Source organism: Homo sapiens, chromosome 3, assembly GCF_000001405.40.
Source record: "Homo sapiens chromosome 3, GRCh38.p14 Primary Assembly".
Taxonomy (NCBI): Eukaryota; Metazoa; Chordata; class Mammalia; order Primates; family Hominidae; genus Homo; species Homo sapiens.
In genome coordinates this window covers 53,710,699-53,736,536 of record NC_000003.12, presented here as the reverse complement: position 1 = coordinate 53,736,536, position 25,838 = coordinate 53,710,699, and the positions used below count along the sequence as shown (strand labels likewise).

General features: G+C 46.0%; 1 protein-coding gene across 22 annotated transcripts in view, besides 5 other annotated features; it reads right to left on the bottom strand.

Annotated features, from left to right (window-relative positions):
* Nucleotides 1-25,838, bottom strand: part of CACNA1D (calcium voltage-gated channel subunit alpha1 D) — a 319,123-nt gene that overhangs the window by 77,197 nt on the left and 216,088 nt on the right. For 12 of the 22 annotated variants that reach the window (NM_000720.4, XM_011534094.3, XM_017007144.2 and 9 more), the window contains 12 exons: nt 18,149-18,236; nt 17,796-17,855; nt 16,756-16,782; nt 14,063-14,223; nt 12,878-13,103; nt 12,538-12,745; nt 9,538-9,658; nt 5,981-6,095; nt 5,391-5,460; nt 4,455-4,521; nt 3,575-3,722; nt 1,034-1,163 (listed from right to left, as the gene is read on the bottom strand). In NM_000720.4, coding sequence (NP_000711.1) covers nt 1,034-1,163; nt 3,575-3,722; nt 4,455-4,521; nt 5,391-5,460; nt 5,981-6,095; nt 9,538-9,658; nt 12,538-12,745; nt 12,878-13,103; nt 14,063-14,223; nt 16,756-16,782; nt 17,796-17,855; nt 18,149-18,236 — 1,421 coding nt within the window. The remainder of the gene's footprint in view (nt 1-1,033; nt 1,164-3,574; nt 3,723-4,454; nt 4,522-5,390; nt 5,461-5,980; nt 6,096-9,537; nt 9,659-12,537; nt 12,746-12,877; nt 13,104-14,062; nt 14,224-16,755; nt 16,783-17,795; nt 17,856-18,148; nt 18,237-25,838) is intronic. The other 10 variants (NM_001128840.3, NM_001128839.3, XM_005265448.4 and 7 more) reach the window with 2 other exon arrangements.
* Nucleotides 3,803-4,341: an enhancer, noted in NCBI's record as "H3K4me1 hESC enhancer chr3:53766223-53766761 (GRCh37/hg19 assembly coordinates)". NCBI's record gives its function as "activates a minimal SCP1, AML or CMV promoter by ChIP-STARR-seq in naive H9 embryonic stem cells {active_cell/tissue: H9 hESC(naive)}" and the evidence as "EXISTENCE:reporter gene assay evidence [ECO:0000049][PMID:30033119]".
* Nucleotides 4,342-4,882: an enhancer, noted in NCBI's record as "H3K4me1 hESC enhancer chr3:53765682-53766222 (GRCh37/hg19 assembly coordinates)". NCBI's record gives its function as "activates a minimal SCP1, AML or CMV promoter by ChIP-STARR-seq in naive H9 embryonic stem cells {active_cell/tissue: H9 hESC(naive)}" and the evidence as "EXISTENCE:reporter gene assay evidence [ECO:0000049][PMID:30033119]".
* Nucleotides 17,098-17,678: an enhancer, noted in NCBI's record as "H3K4me1 hESC enhancer chr3:53752886-53753466 (GRCh37/hg19 assembly coordinates)". NCBI's record gives its function as "activates a minimal SCP1, AML or CMV promoter by ChIP-STARR-seq in naive H9 embryonic stem cells {active_cell/tissue: H9 hESC(naive)}" and the evidence as "EXISTENCE:reporter gene assay evidence [ECO:0000049][PMID:30033119]".
* Nucleotides 17,679-18,259: an enhancer, noted in NCBI's record as "H3K4me1 hESC enhancer chr3:53752305-53752885 (GRCh37/hg19 assembly coordinates)". NCBI's record gives its function as "activates a minimal SCP1, AML or CMV promoter by ChIP-STARR-seq in naive H9 embryonic stem cells {active_cell/tissue: H9 hESC(naive)}" and the evidence as "EXISTENCE:reporter gene assay evidence [ECO:0000049][PMID:30033119]".
* Nucleotides 19,223-20,422: an enhancer, noted in NCBI's record as "CDK7 strongly-dependent group 2 enhancer chr3:53750142-53751341 (GRCh37/hg19 assembly coordinates)". NCBI's record gives its function as "activates an origin of replication core promoter dependent on BRD2, BRD4, P300/CBP, MED14 and CDK7 cofactors, with strong dependence on CDK7, by STARR-seq in HCT116 cells {active_cell/tissue: HCT116}" and the evidence as "EXISTENCE:reporter gene assay evidence [ECO:0000049][PMID:35650434]".

The following is a 25,838-nucleotide window of genomic DNA, read 5'->3' as shown; positions in this document are numbered from 1 at the left end:
TAAGGGTCCAAGTGGCTCTGCCTGGTGCACTCTGCTTCATGAAGTTACTCAAACTTAATATTGGCTATCTGGGGCCAAGGTCAGCACTTTCTTTGGAGATACTTGTGAAATATATAACATAATCACATATTTTATAATAAATCTTCCCAGAGAAGAAATTTTTTAACATTCATTATATATTCTTTTTTTTTTCTTTGAGACAAGGTCTCACTGTATCACTGAGGCTGGAGTGCAGTGGTGCAAACATTGCTTGCTGCAGCTTTGACCTCCTGGGCCCAAGCGATCCTCCTCCCTCAGTCTCCTGAGTAGCTGGGACTGCAGGTATGTGACACCACGCTCAGCTAATTTTTTTTATTTTTTGTACAGATTAGGTCTCATTATGTTGCCCAGGCTAGTCTTGAACTCCTGTCCTTCAGTGATCCTCCCCCTCTATCCCCCAAAGCACTGGAATTACAGGTGTGAGCCAGTGCACCTGGCCTAATGTTCTTCTCCACTGAACACCTCAACTTGACATCCTATCATCTCCCTAACTTGTATTTCTCCTGAGTCGTGGAGCCTAGCAGCTTGGTGTATTTAAGTCTACACGACATAGGCATCTTGCCTCCAACCCTGAACAAGACAGCCTGGGCATGTGGTGTGCCTGGTTTGAATTCTGCTTCCTCCCTGCTGTGTGCTTCCACGAGGCATGAATCTCAAAACAGGGGTGAGTGTAAACCTGAGCAGGGAGGGAAAGGAGGACCTAAATATCAGCAGCAGGGAGCAAAGAGGCGGAGAAGCAGGCTCCCTGAATTCACTGACCGTTCCTGCAGAGTATTTAAGATGAAGTTCTAAGTTAATGATTCCATTCAGATTTACCCAGCTAAAACACAAGCTCTCTGGCACTTACAAACCGGAAACAGCCAACGTCCCCAGCTGAAGGAAAGACCTACTCTAGCTGTCACCTTGAGGGCCTCCACAGCTCCCATCTCTACAGTGGCCTCTGCCCGAGAGAGGCCAGGGCTATCCCAGAGCGAGCCCCACCCTGGGGACTTACCGTGTTCCGGAAGGAGTGGCTGCGGATGGGGTCCTCTGCGGCCAGGGCAGCGCTGCTCAGCATGATGAAGACAAGGATGAGGTTGGTGAAGATGTGGTGGTTGATGAGCTTGTGGCAGCCTACGCGGATCCTGCAGGGAAAAGCCGCTGCTTGGAAACAGTCCCAGATAGGGTGGAACACACTGGGTCCTTAAGAGTGTGGGGCCACTGCAGCAAGAGGCCAGGCAGAGGGCAGCTGTCTGCTGTGCTGCCCATGCACCCTGCCCGGCACACCTGAGCAACCTGTCCGTCAGCCTCTCGAAGCCCACCAAAGGCAACCTGTGGACTGTGGGTGGTGTGTCACCTCTGTGCTGGGGGTGCCACACAGACCACTCTGCCAAGTCCTTGGAAGTGGGGCTTGTTGTCTTCCTCAAGATGGGGAAACTGAGGCTTAATAAGAGAATTCTAAAGTGACACTAGTAAGGACCAGGGGCAGAATCGATCCAGGTCTACATCACTGAAGTTTTTCCACTATGACAAGAAACTCATCTGTTTATCTTCCCTGACTGAGAGAGGAAACTGAGGCCAGGCCTGCCCTCAACAGTTCACACAGAATGAGATGAATCCCAGGCTTGTCTTGCAGGTGCAAGGTCATACTATTTATAGTGACCTGCAGTAACTGAGACTTCAGGACATCTCTGGCTGTCTGCAGATTTTGTAATAGATGTTATTATTATTTTTTTAAATTTTGGAGTTGACCCACAAGCAGTCCTCAGAAAGTGAAGGTTGGAGCATCATTTGCTAACATGCAAGGATCTCATGGCCCGGCATGAGAGTTCTCACCAAGTCCTGTGGTCTCGTGAAGCAATGGAGGGTGGCTCATGCCTGACACCTGGGCTCAAACGATGGCTCTCTGGGCCATCAGAACCTCGCTGCTGTCCTCAATGTGCCCTGCGCCTGGTTAGCAACTGGTTATCCATACCCTCAATGTTTGACTTTAGAATTTAAACATATACATATACACATGTATGTATTTATGTATGTATATGTACATATATGTATACACATAAAACATATATATAAAACATACACATAAATATATGTATACACATATATTTAAATTGTAAAGTATATGTGTGTATATATGTATATCTAAAATATGTATGTATATGTTTAAATTCTAAAGTATATACGTGTGTATATGTATATATACCTATCTGTATTCCTGTATTCTATAAGACTATTATAGATAGATAGCTTTTCCTTGGAAAAGATTTTTTCCACTTTCAAACTGGAGTCAACTTTATGTAAGGCGACCCCTCACTTCAAGTCCTCCCTTTTGGGCCTATTTAATGCTGGGCGTACCCCCCTGAGGACCTGAAGGTGGTTAGCAGTTGAGTCTGGGAAAGAACTTCCAAGCTAGTGAGGGCAGGAGTGCTTTGTAGCTTTAGGTGAAAATAAATGCATTCCCTCAACATATATATATATATATATATATATATATATATACACACACATATATATATGTATATGTATATGTATATATATATACATATACATACATACATACATACACACACACACACACACACACAAACACACACACACACACAAAGGGCTGTAGGTGTCAGCAATATCAGTTTAATAACCTTTTTTTTTTAAAGAACACCCAAACAGTGGTGAGCTGTAAAAGCTACCATCACATCTTCATATCTCTGAGGATGCCAGCAGGCCTTGCTTCCCACCTGTGTCTCCCTAGGGCCAATGAATTATAAAGAGTTGTTCTCTGACAGCCAAGAACTACTTCTGCAATTCTAGAAACCTTTCCAGGAGCCATTTATTTCCCCTGGCATTCCACTCAGTCCCAGATGATTTAAAACCTAGAAACTAGCTAGTAAATAAACGTCTTCCTCTTATAGTACTTGTGAGTCATTACCCTGTTCCTTGTGAGCACCTTATCATTTTAACATGAGAAATGCTATTTTAAGTAGACTATCATAGAGCTGAACTGAATACTTACAACCCATAAAATATCACTGTGCAATATGACTTTACAAAGATAAAACTCAATTGGGAAAACTGATCAATCAAGTGGGGGATCTATGAGGATGAGGATGCTATGCGGACCTTGGTCACAAAAATTCTCATCCCACAAGGCATCCTAACAGAAGATCCACTCATTAGGAAAAATTTCCACGGCTGGCCGAAGCATGGAACACCAGAGCAGTGAGCTCCAGCTGGAATATGCTGGGGTGGACAAGGCTTTCCCCATTGCTGTCCCCATGCAGGGGTGAAGGCAGGGAGGAGAACCTAGAATGGAGCTCCTCCCAGGACCTGGCCACACCCCTGTGGGAAGGAGGCAGCTAGGAAGAGATGAGCTGAGGGCAAGAGCAACAGTGGAGGAGAGAGGGGTTGGAGGGGACTTGGGTGAGGGCGCCAGGGACACTCAGGTTCAGAAAGGGCTGTGAACCACTTCCCCTCACCCCCACCCGAGCCACCCTCAAGCAACCTGTAGGGTCACTGGCAAGAGGCAGCCGTGAGAGACTAGAAGGGGAGTATTTACGGGTTGGTCTTGCTAAGAATGAAGAAAGCGCTCCCTTCAGGGATGGGGGCAATTTTTTCCTTCATGTTCAACTCCGAGATCCTTCGAGGACGGGGTCCGGCAGGAACCTCAGGTTCATCCTCCTCCTCTTCCTCTTCCTCTTCCCCTACTTTAAATGAAATACTTTTTTTATAGGCATGAAATAAAGACTACATATGGGTTTGAATTATTCTTAATTTCACATGCAAATTTGGCTTAAACTTTAACAACATCTACCTGCTTACATGAATCAAAACCCTCCTGCTCCTTCAGAACATGGACTGAGTGTGTGTTGCAGGGGTGGGGGGTGCTGAGAAGTGTCCCCGTCTGGTGAGCATGTTTAGTTTGCGGGAATGATGAGATTCCCACCAGCGTAAGATCTGACCACAGATGAAAGGTGGCAGTGCTGAGATTCTCACTGCCAACCTCCCAACACCTGGCTGTTTCCCCAGTAACCTCCTCGCTCAGACTAGCCTGAGAAACTGTGTGGGACTTTCAGTCTCAATCAGCTCCTAGGCTCCCAACTCCACAGTCCCACCCACATCAGCCAATAAATGTGCCAGTCAAATATAAAAGTGTCAGGTGAGCGCTAACACCGGGGGGCCTCCTGGACCAGTCTCCCAGCAGAAGCTGGGACTGCCCTGACCCACCTGCACTTTCCCTCCCCATCACCTGGAATTTGAGTGACACATTCTGCCTGTGACCATGGGAAAAAGGCGAGCTAACTGGTCCCACGGCCTTGGTGGCCTCAGCAGCTCATGTGCACGCTGCTGGGCTGGCTGGCCGCAGACTCGGCAGGTGGTCACAGAGCAGTAGCAAAGACACACAGCAAAGCCAGCGTCTCCGGCCTCCGCCACCATACCTGGCACATCGCAAGGCGGATAGGGGTCCTTGTCTTCATCCTCTTCTCTATAGTCATCAATTGTAACCTAGGATGACAAAGACATCTTGGGAGGAGGGGAGACTGACTTAAAATCACTTCAGAGAGGAAAAGTCACCCTGGTGGTCCAGCATAGGGCATGGATTCCTCCCCAAAGCTGCATCTGTATTTGAGTGTGCAGGGACAGGCAGATGTCCCCAGATGGTGATTCTGCTTCAGACAGAAGGCCTGAGGGCAGGTGAGAAGAAGGCTGAACCCTGACCCAGTCGTGGTTAGCCAGCACCATTCAGGGCTCTGTCCTTGCCCTGTGCCAGCACATTCACTCATACCATGTGATAATGCATCTCATACTCCTGTCTTCCTGCCAGACTGTGAGCCCCATGAAGGCAGGGACCTGTCTTCTTCATTCCTGAATCCTCAGTGTCTGATACATGATAGCCACTCAGTAAGCATTTATCAACTCGATGAACAGAGAAAGAACAAAACAACCAGGGCTGTCATAAATGGGATTCAGTTTTACAGTATAGCCCTGAGGCCACCTGATCCTGGGATTACCTCTGGAAACAGACATCTATTAAAAATCCGCGATTTTCATACCCACTCAGAAGATGCTAACGTGATCCTGACCACGGGTCAGGGCTGATTGCACAATTCCAATAAAGAAAACATAAGTGGTCAAACTAGTCAATTCTTTATCATATTGGTTTTCTGGTGAAATATCAGTAAACACAACTAACTGCCTAAATTCAACCAGAATCCCCCCTGGGAAGCCAGGGTCTATATGGTGTGCCATATTCTTCACACCAAAATATTACAAGAATGATACACAAGACACTTCCACAGTGTAAATGGTACATGTATGGAGATCAACAGGATCATTTTGAAACAAAAAGGGGAGAAGCATCTTAGAATACATACCTTGTTGTCACTGTTGGCTATCTGGTTGACTTCTGGTTTGTTGTTCTTTTTATTTTCTAGGCTCTCTTTTCTAAAGAGAAGAGAAAAGAGCACAAGAAACCAAATAACCATGTTACTCTGTATAAAAATGCTAATCAGGATTCTGAATCAATAATGCTCCAATGAAGGACAGAATTTAATTAGAAACAACACTAACCACAAGAGCCTAGCACAACCCAAACTCAGAGCTTCCTGGTAATCTCAATGCGATGGATTCATTACACAGACCATCTTATTAAAATTCTCATCTGAGAGCTAATCAGCATTGAATGCATCATTTATTTTATGACACCAAAATTAACTGCAGTGATTCTTTAAGCATGGGGACACGTGACTCCCACTCTCAGCCCCGAGGGATGACAGCCAAGAGCCTGGCTTCTGCCCAAGATTCCATCCGTTTTGGTCTGCAGTGCATGGTCAACCATGATCCACAAAGCAGCAACCCGGGGGCTGCAGCTGCCGTGATGCGGGGGTAAGCCTGGCAGGCTGCAACTGTTGCAGGGCTCCCAACACAGCCCCTGGACAAACACGTCAGGGGAAAATAGGGTTACCTGGCAATCTTTTTCCTCTCCTTTTCTTCCGCTTCTTCTTTCTGAGCAGTGTTCAGACTTTCAGCATCAGCCAAATTGTCTACAGCGATGGCCAAGAAGACATTCAGTAGAATATCTAATTTCAACTTTTTAAGGGCACAACACACTACTAAATGCAACTACGTGCGGCCAACAATGGCAACGCCACACACCTCTGCATCCCGGGAAGCTGGTAGTAAGTGACCGTCCCAAGTGTTATACTCACACAGCAAAACTAGAGTACCAGAGCCCTGCTTTTCAAACAAAACAAAACAAAACAAAACAAAACAAAAGTAAAAACCTGTAAAAGGACAGTCTACAGAAGTAAAATTAAGATTCACTAAAACCCATGAAAACCCACTAATTTCAACCTTTCTCTGTGTGTGTGTGTGTCCAAACATCTACGTATCTATAGCTATGTTATACATTTTATAAAACAATCTATAACATAAACATGGTATAATTAAAAAGTAGTTTGGGTTTTTTTTTTAAACACATACTACAACTACAACATATATATTCAGGGGAGTGCTTTCCAAAACAGACCACTTCAAAGGTTGCAAGTTATTCAAATGATGATGCCCTTGCACAAGACAGTATGAGACTTTCTCCTTTGAAATAACCTTCAGAGTCTACAGATAACTCATTCATTCCTTCACTCCACAAACACTGACTGACTATAATGTGTCTGACTTACTGCCACCTGGTGCTGGACTGTTGTGAATAGTCTCACTGCAGCTCGATCTTTGATCACTGTACCTGAACTTGATTTTTGCCCTCTCCAGCCCAGGACAAATTGCTTCCCGAGGCTCATTGCAGTTCCAGTTAAAAAACACAATAAAAGGTTAGGTGACTGAACAAATTATCATATTTTTTCACTCTTACTCTAATGTTGTATACATGGCTTTCTTGAATGTTTTTGTTTTTAACAAGTATTCTGAACAAGACTCCTAAATCAGAAGATGCCTGTTTCTTACCCACTAGCAGTGAAGCATGTTTTTGAGAAGCACAGGGATGAGAGGGCAATAAGTGAGAAGGCCCCCTTCTGTGACAAATGCTTCTCTCTGCCTGATGCCCGGCCATCTGCAGGCAAAACTGCAGGAGCCCAGAGACCCCGAGACAGGAGCAGCATAGCACTGTCCCATACGCCCTGTGCAATTTGTTGTCTTGGATGGGTTGCTGAACACGTAAACCAACATAACCTAACAAGGAACAGATGATGAAATCTCTGTGAGGGAATAGCACGCCTGACTAATCTATTCAAGGTTTTAAAGAGGAGAGAAACGTAAGTGAATTACATTAAGACTCAAAAAGCCTTTGACATGCTGGCCTATTTTTTAACTGGAGCTGCAATGAGCCTCAGGAAGCAATTAGTCCTGGGCTGGAGATGGCTTGGTAACATGAGCATTCCTCTGCTAGGCCTGGGGTAATGGTAACTCGGACAGGGGCTAGTGATGAGACTAGCTGTACTGAGTATTCCCTCCATGATCTCAGTGAAGAAACAATAATCTCTCTAGTCTTGCCATGACACTCAACTCCTTTGGGTAGTGGAAAGCAAATCCAGAGTGATGAGCCACAGGAAGATCTTACAAGCTTGTAACAACTTTCCAGAGCAAAATCCATCATCTGTATTGAGAGGCATTACTCAGACCCTCCTAAAGAGTGGCATGCTCTGGAATTCATCCAGAAAGATCTACCAAGTACCTCCAATGTGTCAGGCACTGTTGTGGGTGCTGAGGGCACAGGAAGAAACACCACACACTGGAATGTCTACTCTAGTTGGGGAAGACAGAGCATAAGCAGCTCCCTAAGCACCTCTGATACAGTGGCATGTGCTATAAAGAAAACAACATGCAACCACAGACAAGCACCAGGGAATACTTCTCTGCAGATTCAAGTCCAGGATGTTGCTGTGGCCTAAAGAGTCAACCATAGGACAGCAGAAAAAGAAAATAATGACCTTTCATTTACCAAGGGCCAACTATGTGCAAGATCCCGTACTCTATTGAGAGATGTGAATACAAAAAGATTCCTGACTCAAGAAGCTTATCCATCTAGTTAGGGAGATGGAGGAATGCCCACTCAAAATTCCAGTAGACAGGCCGGGCGCAGTGGCTCACACCTGTAATCCCAGCACTTTGGGAGGCCAAGGCGGGCGGATCACCTGAGGTCAGGAGTTTTAGACCGGCCTGGTTAACATGGAGAAACCCCATCTCTACTAAAAATGCAAAAATTAGCTGGGCATGGTGGTGCACACATGTAATCCCAGCTACTCAGGAGGCTGAGGCAGGAGAATCACTTGAACCCAGGAGGCGGAGGTTGCAGTGAGCCGAGATTGCACCACTGCACTCCATCCAGCCTGCGTGACAGAGTGAGACTCCTTCTATAAAATAATAATAATAAATAAATAAAAATCCAGTAGACAGAAGAACCTACAGGCAGTAAGAGACGTGGATAAAATCTGAGGGGGAGCTCAGAGGTAGAAGAACCTTCTCTGGGTGGGAGACAGGGCAGGGGTGGCTCTTGTGGAGGGGGCCTTAGAGCCGAGTCAAGGGACTACAAGGATGTATATGTGTTGAGATGGGGTTTTTATAAAATACCTTATAGCACAAAGCATTGTCCTTGTAGAAAAGGGGGCAGGTTTGCACTGAGGTTACCACACTGAAGAAAATTTATCAGTGAGCCAGACAAGATAAAGAAGAAAACACCTACAGAGATCTGGGCCACCTTAGAAGCAGAATCCAGATTAGGACCTTTTAAAATGGAAGGGTGAAAACCCAGATGTAGTATCATGAGTGTGTACGTCGTTCATGCATCAAACATTCATTAAAGGCCTCTGTGTACCAGGTCTGGTGCTAGGCATGGAGGACCTGGAGATAAAACACCGAGAACCAAAGGCTATAGGATCAGGAAGGGTCTGAATGAGGTAAATACAGATCTAAGGGCCAATTCCAGAAGTCTAGGATTAGAGGGTGCCTCTCGACAGGGAAAAGGGGTAAAGTAAGGCAGAGAGAAGTTATGCAGCATGATTTAGCAGCTAGCCAATGGACACTTGATCCGCAAAGATGGACAGATCAGCAAAGTGAAATTAGCCCAGGGGAGCACAGATCAGTCCACAAAGATGGCTCTCATCAGTCACGAAGGGTCTTAGGAAGTCACAGATGGACGCCTAAGCTCCCAATAATGATAACATAAAGAACCACCTGGCCTTGCGCTCAGCCATCCCTCGGGACCTGTACAGGAGACATGATGCCAAACTGAGTGACCTCTGGGACCAGTATGTGTGCTGTCTCACGCTCCTTCCCTGGGCTTGCTTCTCTTAGCCAGAGCGCATCCCTCAAAGCCTCTCTGGAATTCTGCTTACAGGACGCTGTCCCCCAGCAGCATGGAAGAAAAGCAGATATTGAGCTAATAAGGTAAAGGCATTTACCTCCCTGCCACAACTACTACCACCACCATCACCACAGAGAAATGCAGAGGAAGAAAAACAAAACCAGATAACGACGGCAACAACAAAGCCTGGTCGGCTTGAAGGATACAGTTACCACAAATGAAGAGGATGATGAAGTAGATGCAGACGATCATTCCTGAAGAGGATGGGCCCCCGTAAGCCATGATGCCATCGTACATCACAGCATTCCAGTCTTCGCCTGTCAGGATCTGAGAAGCCAAACTGGTATCAGCCAGCAGGTGGATTCACAAATTGCAGCCGCTCTCTTAGAGCCCCTCGGTGGCTGCCTAGATCTGGTTTAAGCTGCCTTTCACAGTCCAGTTTGCACTGAACAAATCCATCTGTTATCCCATGGAATTTCTAAAACACTGTTTTTTAATTACACAAATAGATAATTCTTTGAGTGAAAAAAAATAACCTTATTATTAAGACTTAAGTGTTTGTTTGTTTTTGAGATGGAGTCTCGCTCTATTGCCAGGCTGGAGTGCAGTGGCTTGATCTCAGCTCACTGCAACCTCCACCTCCCCGGTTCAAGCAACTCTCCTGCCTCAGCCTTTCAAGTAGCTGGGATTACAGGTGACCACCACCACACTCGGCTAATTTTTATATTTTTAGTAGAGAGAGTGTTACAGCAGTTGGCCAGGCTGGTCTCGAACTCCTGACCTCAAGTGTTCCGCCCACTTCAGCCTCCCAAAGTGCTGGGATTACAGGCATGAGCCACCTCACCCAGCCAAGATTTATGTGCTTTTTGATTACACCCCAGCCCAGTTTTAGTCCCTTCCCCAGAAAGCATGCTCTTTCTGTGTCTCTCTGGAACCTTCAACTACAGATTTAAACACGTTTACACACAAAGAAAACAAGCACTAGGTGTCTTCTCTGAGTTTTCAGACATAAAGGATATCATGCTATGCAAAGTTTTCTGCAACTGGCTTGTTTTTTCATTCAACAACATACTCTGGAGACCCTCTGTGTCAGAAGGTGCATCTCATTCTTTTAACTGCTGCATAGCATTCCACATAGTCCATCAACTGTGGAAATGGATAATTATACCTATGAAATTACAAAAGCAGGAAATTCTAAATGTCTCATGTAAATTTACAAAACTACCTCAAGAGTAGATATCACCAATGACCTGAAATTTAATCTTCTCTACTGATCATACTTGATAATTCAATCCATGATGAAATAGAATCAGATGAATAAGAACAGTAATGAAAAAAATGCTATCTTCCGACGACAGACAGAGCTCCTTTATCTTCAATCTGAACTAGATATTTTTAAAATTTAAACTGTTATGGATCACAACCAAACAAAAATGGGCAAATGATTTGAAAAGATAAAGTAATTCACAGAAAAGGCACTACTGATGGCTCTGAGTCATAGGAAAAGACGTTCAACCTCACTCCTGATAAGAACAGTATCTTTTAAAAGTACAATGAAATGCCATTTTCACCTAACTGATGGGCATCCCAAAGCATGCTCTCCACTGAGGGGAGAGGCAGTGAGGCAATGGGCAGTGTGAAGACAATGAGCTAATACAACCATAAGGAGAGCACTTGGGCACGTGTGTCAACATTTAAAATGGACACACCCTCTAAAGCAGCAATTCCATCTCTGGGAGTTTATCCCACAGATCTACAGCCAACACATGTGCCCTCTGATGCGTGTTCAGGGTCACCTACTGGAGCCCTGTGTATGTGGGCTAAGACCAGACAGAACTCAATGCTTGTCAGCAAGGGACTGGTCATATGAACAACGGCACATCTACCACCGCATGGACGCAGCGTTTCAAAGGAGGGGCAGCCTTTTATGGACCAAGCAGGAAGGCTCTTGAGGACACTCAAAGTGATAAAAGCAAGATGCAAAACAGCACGTACAGTGAGCTCCTGTCTGTGGAAAGTCTCCTATAGGTAGCTTAACTGAGTTGTAGCTATCAGAAAATGCAGATCTAAGAATTCACAAGAAACTGTTTAATGGTGGTTGCTTCCTAGAAGAGGAAATTTGTGGCTGGCTGGGAGAATTATTATTCATTTGTAACATTAGAATTTTGTGCCATATGCATGCATTACCAAAAAAAAAAAAAGACACCAGTTTCTCTGAAAGAAATTTTTTTTTAAAAAAGAATCACTGATCAGCAGCCAAAATTTAAGTATAATTCAAACAACAATACTATGGCTTACAGCAGATTATATATACCTGAAAATGACCAAGTGGGAGAGAATTGTCCAGATCATTCCCTTTGGTCTCTGGATTTCTTCAGAAATGGGTAAGTGACTCATCCACAGCAGAGAGCTGGGCATGGAAAGGGCCACCACAGGACCCAGCTGTCTGCTGCCTTTCCTCTCTGGCAGGGCTCTGCAGCTCACATCACACAGGAAAAGCAATGAGGACAGGTGGGTCTTTTAAACTTCCCCATCAGACCCTGTCCAAGGAGGAGGGTTTTGAGCACCTCAGCGTAGAGTCAGGGGAGCATGTGCTGCTGCTCTGAGCAGCAGAGCCATCGGTGCCTCTCTGCAACCACCGCTCCCTTCTCAGCTACTGCCTGCAGAGGCCCCACAGGACAGGCACCCTCAGAATCTTTGTGTCCTCACTGCATCCCAGGAGGAGGACAGAAGGGACCAATGGCTGCCACAGTTCCTACCACTCTGATTCCTCCAACTACACACCAAAGCATGGAGGCATGAGAATTCACTTCTTGTGTAAATCTATTATAACTAGGATTATGAACTGGCCTGCCATCAAAAAGTACCAAAGAGAAAAGAATTTTAGAGTCTATTTCAAAGAAACCTCATAAAATCAATCAAAAAGTTTTCTTGGAAGAGCTTGAGTGTGAAAAACGGTTTTTTTGGTTTATTATTTTGTAATGTAGCTAGAAGTCTTTAAAAAAATTACATCACTTAAGATAGACAGCTGGAGGATGATGCAGAACGAATAACTTAAATGGCACAAAATTTACCAGGCTATGATTAGGGCAGAGATGAACAAAAATGGAGTCCTTTTGTCTTCCTGAGTGTGAGCAGACAAGAAGGCAGAGGAGTTTTAGCTGCTGCTCACGAAGTGCTTTTCGGGGAATGGAGGGAGGACTCACCTGGAACACTGTGAGAAGTGCTTGAGGGAAATTGTCAAAGGTGCTCCGCTTGGTTTGCGTTTCATCAAAATTAAACTTGCCGCCAAACAGCTGCATCCCAAGCAAGGAAAAGATGATAATGAAGAGAAAAAGCAGAAGCAACAGCGAAGCGATGGACTTCATGGAGTTTAATAAGGATGCCACTAAGTTGCTCAGGGAAGTCCAGTGCCTATAAGTCAAGATGAGGGTGTCAGCTCAGAACACCCATGCAGGACAGAGCAGAACATCACCTGCCCGGGGATGTGACTGGTTGCCGCCTCATGTTCATAAAACATTTGCAGTGGGACCCACATTTCCTTACCTGGTCACTTTGAAGATTCTTAAGAGGCGCACACACCGAAACACAGAGATCCCCAGGGGAGACATGATTTCCAGTTCCACCAAGATCGTCTCAGTGATTCCACCACACACCACGAAGCAATCAAACCGGTTGAAAAGAGAGACGAAATATGCTTGGAGGCCCAAGCTGTACATTTTTACCAGCATCTCGCAGGTGAACAGAGCCAAGAGGACTTTGTTGGCAATATCTGGAAAGACAAAGGGGCACCCATCCTCAGGGTCTCCTGCAAGACACTCAGACTGCTCGTGCCCCTCACACCTCCCTCCCTATCAGGCCCCACAGGAAATACGCCAATACCTTGTCTCTCTCTTCACTACCTCACTCAGGACAGAAACGTGGCCTTCGCGTGGACAGTCTGTCCACCAGGTTCTGGTCCTGCTTCTGCTACTAGCTATGTGTGTGACTCTGGAGAAGTTACTTGATTTCTCCAGGTCTCAGTGTCACTGATGACAAAATGGGAAGGGGCAGCTCATCACATAATCTCTGACTCCTTCCAGCCCTAAAAGCCTACGATTCTGCGTTGACACCATCAGGTTATACATATTTTTTCATTCAATCACACAGAAAAGATCTGTCTGAATTCATTTATGGCATGACGATATCAGAAGCAGTCACCTATCAATGTCATTTCTAACAGCTGAAAATATCACCAAGCAGGCTGGAGAGGTAGAGGGAAACGGGTTTGACTGGATGAAAGGAAGGACTTTTCAAAGGCTCAAAACTGTCAAACCCAGAATGGGCTGTCTCTAGGGATGAGTGTCCCACACCCCAGTGCTGGAGCATTCAAAGCAGGGGAACCAAAACCATTTGCCAGAAGTACTATAGGGGAAAATGAAGCTTCCCCGATGAGGGCAGGGAGCAGGGATTACGAGGTCCCTTCCAGCTTCAAGAATTCTTGGTCCTAGGTTGGCTCAGGGTTAGGACAATTAGATGCTTGGCATTAAGTGGCTCCAAGGTGCTTCACCACGCGGCACAGATGGCACCCTCGCTCTGGTAGTTGCTGTGTCTGGATGGTTCTACCAAGTTTGTCCTCACTAGAAATGTTGCGATACTTCATCATGCAGCGATCAGATAAGACCAAATGGCAGTTGGACAGCCACAGAAATCTCTAGTTCAGAACAAAAAAGGAATGGCCTCTGCTTGTACCTTGAATCTGTGTCAACCAATCTGGCTGATTGTAGTGCTCAGAGGAAATGGTTAAGGTGTTCAGAAACACCAGGACGATAACCAGCCAGTAAAACGTGACAGACTTCACGGCGGCCCTACATCTTCTGCGATTGAATCGGTTCCAGCGACGCCAGCGTCGGCTAAAAGACAAGCAAACATTACTACGTAGATGACAGATACAGCATCTGAGTATCCAATAAATATGATTGAGAGATAATTTGGCTTTCACTCTGGAGGTCTAGATTGGGGTGGGAGTGCAGGAAAGAAAGATGAGCACAAATGGCACAGAAATTAACAGACTTCATCATAAAAATTATGTTGGTCTTAAAATGCGACTTTTAAAAGTATAATCTTGACTTGATCATGCTATCAGTCCTTCCTTATGGCTTATAGATAACTCCAGAATCTGTCATATGCAGCCCTTAAGTGGGTTAGAAAATCTAGATATTCATAGATTCACGTGCAGATGCAAAACTACACTTGCACACATATGCAGTTCCTATATCCACCATATGGGACGTGGATCTGCTCATGCAATCAGTGCAGAGAGCCACTTCGCTTATTATACACATCTCTTGCAGCATCTCAATCACCATACAGAATTTACCAGGCAGCAAAGTGCTACAAAGCTAGTTTTTTTTTTTTTAAAGGGAACCTTTTCAATCCTTTCTTAAATCTCTGAGGTTCCTCCAGAGCCTGGCAGAGTTGTCAAAGCTGAGTAGGACATGAATCTTCATACTGAGTCATCAGGTGCCCTTTCTAACTAGTGATGCTCAAAATATACCTTTAGGAGAAGAGCCAATATTGAATCGTGTTTTCATAAAAATAAAATGAGCTCAGCCAAACAGACAAGTAGCATGTCCTCCACCTACCTTCAGTTCCTGATTGTGATTAGAGAAAATATTCTCTCCCTTAGCCTGTCTCCTTCTAGAAAACCTTCCCTGCCACAAGGGGATGCTTTGGTAAAGTGTGCCATGAGCTGCAGCTCAGTGACCCAGATCCCGTGGAAAGGTCAGCCAATTGGTAAAGTCAGTCCTCTCCAGGCTGTGCTGCCTCACTAACGACAATGGGGTACTTCCTCTGGGGGCCTGAGTCAAGAGGAATCTCCAGGCTACCCAAGCTGCAGCCCTGGCTGACTCAGCTGTGTTGCTAGGCAAAAAGAAAATCTGTAACCCAGGAAGTGAGCAGAGAAAGAGTTGTGCCAACTCTTTACCAAAACCTGGATCAAGTAAGGTGTATTTTATTATTACTCTTGCTGTGCAGGTTCCAATGGAAAGAGCAGCTTCTAACATGTTGGCCAGCGTGGAAAAACTCTACTAAGGACACTAAAGACTGTCCCGCTCACAGCTGGGTTTCTCCTAGGATGCATAACTCAGCAGACATGAACTAGTACTCCATCATACTGGTGAACCACAGTGTGTCTACCCATTCACATTTGATGGACCTTTGGGTTACTTCCAGCTTGGGGTAAGCATGAATAAAACTGGTACAAACATTCATGTTACAACTTTGTATGTAGGCATATATCTTCATTTCTCTTATACAAACACCTTAGAAGTGGGATGGCTGGGCCAAATATAAACGTGGTAAATATATGTTTAAACTTTATGAGGAACTACCAAACTATTTTTTTAACGGCTGTGTCATTTGACATGTCCATCAACACTGTATGAAAGTTCCCACCAATCAGCATCCTTGTCAGAACTTGTCATTGTCAGATATTTAAATCTGATTCACTCTAATAGATGTGTAGTGGTATCTAACTGTGATTTTAATGTGCATTTTTGTAACAACTGATGGTCATTTCATGTGCTTATCTGCCATCCACATCTCTTCTCTGGTGAAATGCCTATTAAAAATTTTGCCCATTTTTTATTGGGTTTTTCTATTATTGACACTCTCCTTTATGCATTAATCTTTATATATATGGGATACCAGTCCTTTATCAAATATGCTTTGCAAATATTTTTCTCCAAGTCTGAAGCTAACCTTTTTCTTTTCTTTTGAAGAACAGAAGTTTAATTTTGACAAAGACCAATTTATCTGTTTGTTTTCTGTTACAGAAAGTATACTGGGTGTTGTATCTTAAGAAACCTTTGCATAACTCAAGATCACAAAGACTTTCTCCTGTTTTCTTTCTGGAATGTTCATGATTTTATATTTTATATTTAGGTCTTTGCCTATTTTAAGTTAGTGTTTATATATAGTAGGAAAATGTTTTTGTTGAAAAATGACACTCAGATGAAAAAGTACACTAATCATAGGTATATGGTTCAATGAGTTTTACCAACTGAACACGTAACCCGCATGCACATCAAGAAATGCTAGTACCTTGGAAGACTTCTTGAACTCCCTTTCTATGGAAAGCTTTCGAGCAGAAAAGTGACAAGCAGCAGCTCTCTTAGGAAAATGACTCAGAGGATAAGGAGGATTAATGGGGAGGCAAAACTCGTTACTGAGTCTTATTGGTTTACTTTGAGGGAGATCTTTGGCACCTAAGATCTCCCCCTAAGCCAGGCTCATAGGATTCAATTGACTGACTGCAATTCAGTATCAATGTTATAATCCACAGAGGAAAACTCAAGTCCAGAGCAATACTACGTAAAATTCAGAAGTGAGAACATACAAAGGCAACACACAGGCTGACGAAGAAACAGAAAGAAGATACTGACCTGAGTTTGGATTTTGAGATGGCTTGACTGAAAGAAAGACAAAAAGTGTTAAGATTCTGGTTCCGAGGGCTTGAGCACACACTCCCCATCATTTCAGCTGAGATATCATAAAAGCCATGCATACAGCCTGGACTTAGCACCCCTGGTTACCACAGCAGGCCAGCAGGGGCAAGGCCAGAGCAGAAATTAGGATGCTGCCAGGGCCAGAGGAGCAGACTGAGCACCCTCGAGGCCCAGGTCAGGGAAGACTCGGCCAGATTCCCTGCAGGCCCTGGCAGCAGGCAGTGATGCAGGGGCCAAAATGAAGGCAGCAGAGTCTCTCCTGCCACTCATCTCGACAGCAGCATTTGCTGCTACTACCGCAGAGGGAGCACTGCACTAGGAGTCCCAGCACTGCCATTCTCCCACTGGGTGAGTATGGGAAAGCAGCAGGTCTTGGGCCTCAGCATTCTCATCTGTAAAGTGGGGATGACAAACCCATTCTCTGTCTGCTTCATGATGTCTCAGAGAGGGCAGAGCAAGAGAATGGAGGCAAAATCACTTCACAAATGGTTGCATATTCTGCCCATAACACATCATTTTTATGAAACTCTGCCAAGAGTAAGATTGAGTTCTCTTAAAAATGACACCTGCACTTTACAGAGATAAGACCTGAAGGATACCAGCAAGAAGCAAACAAAACCAAACCGCACAGGGCTCCCCCACGGCAGACAGTGCCCAGCACATTCTGCACTGCTGGTCCCCCCCAGCCCCCCCGCCAGCTGCCACAGCCCAAATCATCTAGAAAAAAGCCAGTGAGTGTTAATGCAATGGTGCCTTCCATCATGAGGAGAGGCTGGTGCAGGGCTCCAGGGAAAAAGTGCCAGGCACCAAGAAGGCAGGGCCTCGTCATCCAACCGCCAGGCCTGAGGTTAGGAAGGTCCCATGAGCAAAGGAAAACTTAAATACGTAGCACATTCTAGTCAGCAACTCTGCCACAGAAGCTCTTCTTCAAAAGCACAAATGCCAAACCCAGGCTGGAAGGAGAATCAGGCCTTTACCCCCACCGCCGACACCCAGAGGGCCCCGCCTTGGCCGCGCCTCTCCGTCTCCACCAGCACCTAATGGACACAGCAGGTGGCCAGGTTAACCACCACATTCTTCACGGGCTCTACTTACAGGAAGAGGCATGTGAAATGCTGGGCCGGGGGGCGGGGGGGCGGGGGGTGGGGAGGTGTGCAGGAGGGATAGCCCTGGCACAGGAGGAAGCGTGGCGTGGGGTACGAGGAGCCTTCCCACCCGCCACACCCAAGGCGATGGCCCGGGGCTCTGCTGCAGCCTGGGCGGTCTTCCTCACCACCTGCTTCTCTGAGACAACAGGAGGGGAAAGAGGGCAAGTGCTCCCCACACTCACCAGAGACTTCCACAGCAGCCTCGGTTCTCGCCTTCACCGCTGACGTTCTCTGTGTTCACAGACTCAGTCTCGCTGGTGGGCATGCTAGCTGTGGGGAGAAGACGGGCTTCAGAGAGCATGCGGGGCACACTGCACGCCTGGGAGGCAGGCCAGGTGGGAGCCTCTGCCACCAGGCAGACCTCCGGAACCCAGGAGGAGGGTGAAAAGGGCCCTCAGGGCCTCAGCTGGGCTAAGGGAGTGCCAAGGAGCCAGGCATCTCCACTGCAGGCGAGTCTCTGCACCCATGGCCTGTAGGAAACACAGTCCCCCTCGAGGAGGACATTCTATCCCCCTAGACATTTCCAAGAAAGGAAGCTAAGGGATCAAAGTGAATCCTGTGGCTGGGTATAGCACCACTTTATCCTCCTCATCTCTGGGATCACACTGAGAAGCCACCAAAATGTACTTTACAGGTACATCTTTGCTTGCCCCAAAAGGTGCATATAGAACATCTGTGAATAACCCTAACATTTCATGAGTCAATCATCTTAAATATACTGAGGGAGAAGAGCTATTGTGAATGGGGAAGGCAGTGCATGAAGGTACCATGCACAACATTTTTTAGAGTTAAGAACTCTATTTTTTTGCTATTTTACCTGATGCTGAAGTTCTGCTGAGCTTGTGAAGCCAATACACAGAAAGTTCTTACCCAGTAAGCTGGGTAAGAACAACTAGAGCACCAAGGAATTATAGTGTTACGAGTGGAAGAAGAAGATCATTATCAACCAGTGAGCAGAGGGCAAGGTTGACTCTGGTCTCAGTATGACTAGGGTCTCTGGGCCCATCCCACTTCTCCATGGTAGGATCCTGAGCGGAAGTAGAGGAAATGTGGAAACACGCCCACTAGTGTGTGGAGGTCCAGGGTCCACCCAGGGCCACCATCTGGTGCACGAGCGTCTTTTCTCATCCACTTGATTCAACCCCATAAACATCACGAACACGTGCTGGAGCCCAGGCAGTGGAGGAGGGCAGGGGCAAAAAGAGGGCACACAGCACTGCACCCACCTGGAATAGGGGTGAGGGACAGGCAGCCCCCAGCTCACTTCCATCAGCTGTGAAGAGAGCTACCTCAGGGGTCTGTGCAGGAGGTTCCAGAGTAAAGAAGGATTAATTCTGCCGGGGTGCAGAGGTAAAAGAGGAAGTCACGGAAGAGAATCCACGTGTACTTCCTTTTTCCTGAGGCATGGCTTTGAACTGTAGTGACTGTTTTTACAGACCTTACGATGTCTTCAGGAAAGCTTGGCCCATGGGCTCTGCCCGTGTGGCTCCCCTTAGCAAGGATGCCTCAAGTTTCATCTGCAAATACTGGTAGTGGGCTGGAAGCGCTATGGCGAAGATTCTGAGGCCCAGCCCAGGCTCAGGGGGAAAGGAGCTGGATCAGGCAGCTCGCGTAGGGGGCTGTGTTCGGCCCGCCTTGCTCATAGCAGACTTCATAAAGGTAACAGCAGGGATAGAGGTGGAACCTGGCTCAAGGAACCCAGTGGTCTGAGAAGTTTCTTGAGGATACCAAAGAAGATCCCTGATCCGTTCCGCTTGTGAGTGCCCGAGAAACTGAGCCTGCCTGCATGGGAGCCTCCACGCCATGCCCAGGAACACTGAGGCAAGGGTGTCAAAAGTTAAGACCAAGTGAGTAAAATTATAGACTCATGTTACATTGCTGGTACTCTCATAGAATAATTTTCTTCTTTCCTAAGTGAGAAGAAACCAATTACAAACCTTGATTTACTTTTTCATTATTTCATGCAGAAACAAACAAACAAAAAAAACTGGACAAAAACAAACAAAAAATACGACTCTAATCATGGAAAAACCTTAAAAAAAAAAACTCCATTAACACACACAGACACACAAGAAGCTACTCATGCAATTCTCCTCGACTGTTCCTCACTCTGATTCAGCAGAAAGGTGAGGAGGTTGTTAAATCCAACAAAGAAAATCACAGTGGGAGACCCTTTTCACATCTGATCATGAGTTAACTCTGTGCGGCATTTTCCGTGGTGGTTACTGCAGTGACTGAGGGGACCAGGAGTTGAGGGCAGTATGATGTGGGGAACCCACAGGCCTGGTCCTGTTTTCTGAGTCTCCTGGGCAATGGATCACCTCTCTCCAGGCTTCACTTTCCTGTCTCTAAAATGGTGGTGTGAACTCCACAATCTTGAGGGTCATTTCCATCTTTAACAGTTTGCTATCTCATAGTTCTAATATTGATCATGTAGGAACATTAGTCATTATTTTCAAAAGAGCAAACTTCTGAAAAGACTAAGTCTTTGTGGCTTTTTAATCTCTGGAGTCATGTCTCATGCTGATATCGGTACAGTTGCAGCATTTCAATTCTAAAGCTTCATTTTAAAAACAATCTGATTGAAACAGATAAATTACATATTTTCTATGGGAATGGGGTCATCAGTTAGCATTTCTGGCCCCCTGCCAACTATTAGTGTATGAAATGTTCTAGTTGCTCCCTAGACTAACTGTGGGGAAAGACAAGAAGTAAAATCGAACTCCCCAAACAGCAACAAAGAGGGGAAGATAGTCTCACAGCACTGTGCCAGGGCTCCACTGAGGGTGAGGCAGGGTCCTCCTGCTCTCTGAGCTGATTCTGTCCTTCAGCTGGGTTGGGATAGTGGCTGAGAGCAGGTGCACAGGTTGGCCAGATCTAAGTTTAACCCCGCGTTTGTGACCTGACTTCTGTACATCTCCATTGCCTCACCTGTAAAAGGGTAAGAATGAGATGAGGCATGCGGAGTGCTGGGTCCCCAGGGCTGGATGATCAGTGAGGCCCACACATGTTAACTCCATCATCTCAGAAAAGCTCTCCTGGAGCTCCCTGGAAGCAAAGCGACCAATCCAGTGTCATTTTGCCCTGGCCACTTTCATCATTGCACAGACGCATCTAGTGTGAGCCATCTTCCATACCTCTGAATCAGCTTTGGCCATCATTCTTGGTTTGTATTTTCTCTGTCTTTAGCTGAGTTATTGTCTAACTTTGCCTACTGTAGGCATAGCAACTTCTCCTGTCATAGTTGTTTGACACCTAAAGAGCCACAGGCACATAATAAATAAATATATCCCAAAAAGATGTTGCCAGGGCTGAGGATGAGCAGAGGCAGACGGAAAGAAAGAGGACAGTGCCTACGCTAGAAATTGGAGACCTCATTTGGTCCTGGAAACAGCCCTTGATCCAGCCCCTAAATCTGGGCAGAGGAAACGCACTCTGACCAGGGCCCTGGCAGCCTACCTTCTCCAGCCACTTACTCCCTATCACAGGATCCTTTTCCAAAATATTTCCAGAAGAAATATCACACTTATCCTTTTCCAAAAATATTTGAAAAGATCAGGCTCAGTGGGTATAACAAAGACCTCATTTATTAAAAATAAAGCATTTTACCCTTCACTTGCATTAGGCATTCATTTTTTTAATGTTAAAAAATTAATATGACTTTCCCTTCCTTTAGCCCCAATAGGATCTCATCTATGTTTTTAAAAAATAAAGAAAAGAATCATAGACTGTTAGAACCAGAAGGGGCTTCTGAGAATACGTGAGCAAACTCTTGATTTCTCAGAGGACAGAACTCGCCAAAATGCCTTGGGACACACAGCTGACACTGAGAAATCTCTCCTAACTTCCACTCACCATTCTTTTCAAGTATGTACTGTGGTTTCACTGGTATACATTTTGGTGTTATGTACTTAAAATTCCACAAATCAACAAGTTCCAAAAAGCCAAACGAGTCTATTATCTACCAGTGCTGGTTTACTATTCTGATGACCTTTATTAACCACTCAAAATCTGGCATATAACCAGATCACTTACAGGATATCAGCTCAGTGACCGACGACAGCACAAAAATCAGGCTGCAATGGTGACGACTGGGCTTTTATAAAAATCCAGACAGAAAGAGTCATACAAACTCATGAAGGTAAAGCCATGGGCAAATTACCCGAATACATGGGCTTCTCCTAACTGGCTTCCATAGCATTGTGACTGCCCCATTTAGGTGATGGCCTTGTCCCCTTCAGCAGGGATTCAGTGTTAATTGCTGACAAGTGGCTAGGCCTTATTAGAGGTGCAGGCAGACCCCTCAGACCTCCCCACATTGCCGACAAGTGCCAGTCCCCTACTGTAGAAATAAGCACCAGGGGCCATCTGCACATGAACAAGCTGTGAAGCCTCTTCCCTGACACATTTCAGGAAACTGGAATGTTAGAGCTTTGTTAGAGAAGTTTATTTTTTATATAAATTTAAAAACTACTTTCAGTGAGTCTGGGAAAAACCAAGCATTAGGAAAGCCTGTGACCTGTGAGAGGATGCTGGCACTGCAATTTGCCTGCTGAAAATCTGGAGAAGCTCAAGGCCTATATTTTGCAATCTATTCCAGGCATTGGGATCTCTGGGAAGAGCTCCAGGGCAGACCCTTAGGCTTACAGTGTGGTGCACTGAGATTGGTGGCGGGGGGCCTGGGTGCCACTGGGGGTGAGAGGATGGTGGCAGACAGCAGCCCTGCATGTCCCAGACTGTAATTAGAGTTTCCAAGGCCTTTGCAGCATGGGCAGCCGGGCCAGGCCCCTACTTGGAGCACTCTGTGGATGTGGGTCATGGTGCTTCTCTTTAAGATCTTGCACTGGGCCAGATGTTATCATGGGCAATGCCACACACAGTAAACCAGGGAAATCTGCTGCTTCTCAGGTAAGCACAACTAGCATTTTCACCAAGGTGTAGACATTTATCCATCTACTCTCATGCTGAAGGACGACATTCGTCTCAGCCAAATGTGTCAGGCTTGTGAATTTGGAGGCAAATCTCTCACACACACACACACACACACACACACACACACACACACACATACACACAGAGCAAATGAGTCTATGTGTGGGTCCTAAGCAGGCAGCCTCAAAATTATGTTCACCATTAACAGGTATAGCAAAATCTCAGATCAACCTTCAGTGATGGAGGCTGATGAGGTCAAAAATGATGGAAGAAATGTCAGGAAAGCCTGGTGCTTATCATCAGGTGACAATGGGACAAGTGCCTCTTTTCCCCTATGCTTGGCTACCAGATCTGTAAGATGAGTTGTAGGACAGTATCATCTCTAAGATCCATTTACCTCTGACCTGCTATAACTGCAGGAAGGCAGAAACGCCCACATGCTGGCTGGTTTTACTACCAACAACCAGGGGGTTTCCCTTGCATTCCCCCAGCTCTGCAAGGAGGGGAGGGCACAAGAAGTGAGCCCCTGCCCACCACCCTCAGGAGGGAAGCCAGGGGTCCAGCCAGCAGCCTGCACTGGAGAACTGAGTCCAAGTGCTCTGCATGTAGAATGTCCCAGAGAATGGGGTGCAGCACAGGAAGCAGTAGCTCCCCAGAGGCCTCAGGGCGTCACAGGAGAGCCTCAGTCCTCCAGTCAAGGCACCCCGAAGGGAAGGCTTGCCACACATCAAACTGAGCCCAGAGCCCTCCAGCCTCGTCTAGAACCTGTCCCATTAGTAGCCTCATTCACAGATGTCTTTGGCCTCAGAGCCTCACTCCTCTGTTCTCCACAGGACAGACTTTTTTGCACACTCAGGAATTTATTTTAGCATTTCCTTCCACCTCCAAGCAGCCTAAAGCTTCTCATTCTTTTCAAAGGTAAGGGTAGGGGGTGAGGCTGGACAACTGAGCAGTGGCTGAGTTGTGGCTGCCTTCCTAGGGGACAGGGTACCTGACACCTAGACCTCATGTTTTCATCTTATTTTCATGACAAACATGAGCAGTACCATGACGTACAGGCCTGCCAAATCCAGAAGAAGCCCACACACCCCCTAAAGGCACATGCACATGCTAGTAGAGACACATTAGGCCACCACAGAGTAACAGCCTCTTGCTGCTGTAAAGAAGCCAGGCTCTTCTTGGAGAATGGAGGTCAAGGCCAGACCAAGGTTTCCATGTCTCAAGCAAGAATTATGCCCAGACAATAACTATCTCCGCGTGTTCAGGGACAGGGGCAGCCCAGCATCCATATGAGGGCTCGTGCCCCACCTGGTGCCAGCAGGGTCGGAGTCCTTCCTGAGTCCCCAGGTATTTCAGTCAATAAAAAGCCATTCCCACTCAAAATAAAGTTCCTTAAATGTGTCAGCCTGCTTCCTCTCCCTGCAGATCTCAGAAAGACAATGGAGAAGGCACAAGAATCCTTAAAGAATCACAAGGCCCAAGCCTGCATTCAGCAAGGCAGAACCAAGGAGGGGTGTTTTCTTTTCTGGGGACAGAAATCATTTATCTCCTTTTGGTAACCTCTCCAGAGCTATATTCCTATGTCAGTCTTTAAAGATGTTTTTTCTTATGTCCATGACACTATTTCCTGCTTAGCTGAAGGCCATTCTTCTTGCAGACACCTTCAGGTGCTGCATCAAGCCCAGCCTCCTGTTCATAAACCTTCCGTGAATGCTACAGATAAAAAAGGCAGCCCCAACTCTGCCCCTAACTCACTGTCCCACCTCAGGCAAGTTCCACCTCCTCTTCTCCCTCCTTTGGGGTCCACAACGTGCTGAATGACAAGGGCTTATATCTGATAATCTCTTAATTCCTTTTCACTTTTAGGCCTTCTGATGAGACCTAGACTCTAATATAACCCTCTTCAGATATCCACGGGTTGTTCCCATCTGCGTCCCATAACCTCTCAGCTCAGCATTCCCATGGGGCCAGAGGCCACTTCAAAGAAAAGAGTACAGTGTGTCCCCTCTGTTCCCTTAGTTGTTGGCTTCACGTCCCTGCTGTCTGAATCTCCTTAAACAGACTTTCCCCAGAGTCAGGTGACCAGGGCCGATCCTGGTGGCAGAACTGGGTCGACTGTGCTGGTGTGCATAGGCAAAGCTTTGTGCTGCTGTCGAACCACTGCCATGACTTGGGCAGAGCAAGGCAGGGAGCCAGCTGCTCACCTAACTGTCTGCCTGGGGATGGGCCTGACAGCTACTCCAGGGATTCTGAGGAAGGGTATGTTTAGCATCATTTTAGGACATATCTGGAAATATAACTTTCCCACACGAGCCCATTCTCACTTTCAAAGGCAAGTGCCCCCAAATCTTTGCATCCCTGAAGTCTATTTTTATTTATTTTGATTTTTTAAGAGACAGAGATCGCACTCTGTTACCCAGGCTGGAGTGTAATGGCGCAATATCGCTGACTGCAGCCTCGAACTCCTGGGCTTATGCAATCCTCTTGCCTCAGCCTCCCAAGTAGCTGGGGACTATAGGCATGCACCACCACACCTGATTTTTTTGTTTGCTTCTTTGTTTACAATTTTTGGTAGACACAGGGTCTCACTTTGTTGCCCAGGCTAGTCTCAAACTCCTGGCTTCAAGTGATCCTCCTGCCTCGGCTTCCTAAAGTGCTGGAATTACAGGTGTGAGCCACTGCATCCAGCTAATTTCATTCTTAAAGCTGCCACTACTAGCTTTGGCATAGTCCTGGGCAAAGTAGCCAGAGACTAAAAGACAGAGAAGCAATTTGAAACATGTAGCCTGGAGAAAAAAAAATCAATCAAATAACATTATTGGAATTTCTAAACGGTTTAAATTTAAAAAAATCATTTGGGGAAAAGTATTTTAAAAGTCTGCCTTCCAGTCTAAGAATATTCATGCCGAATCAAGTACATTTTTTGAGTTGGTTCAGCTG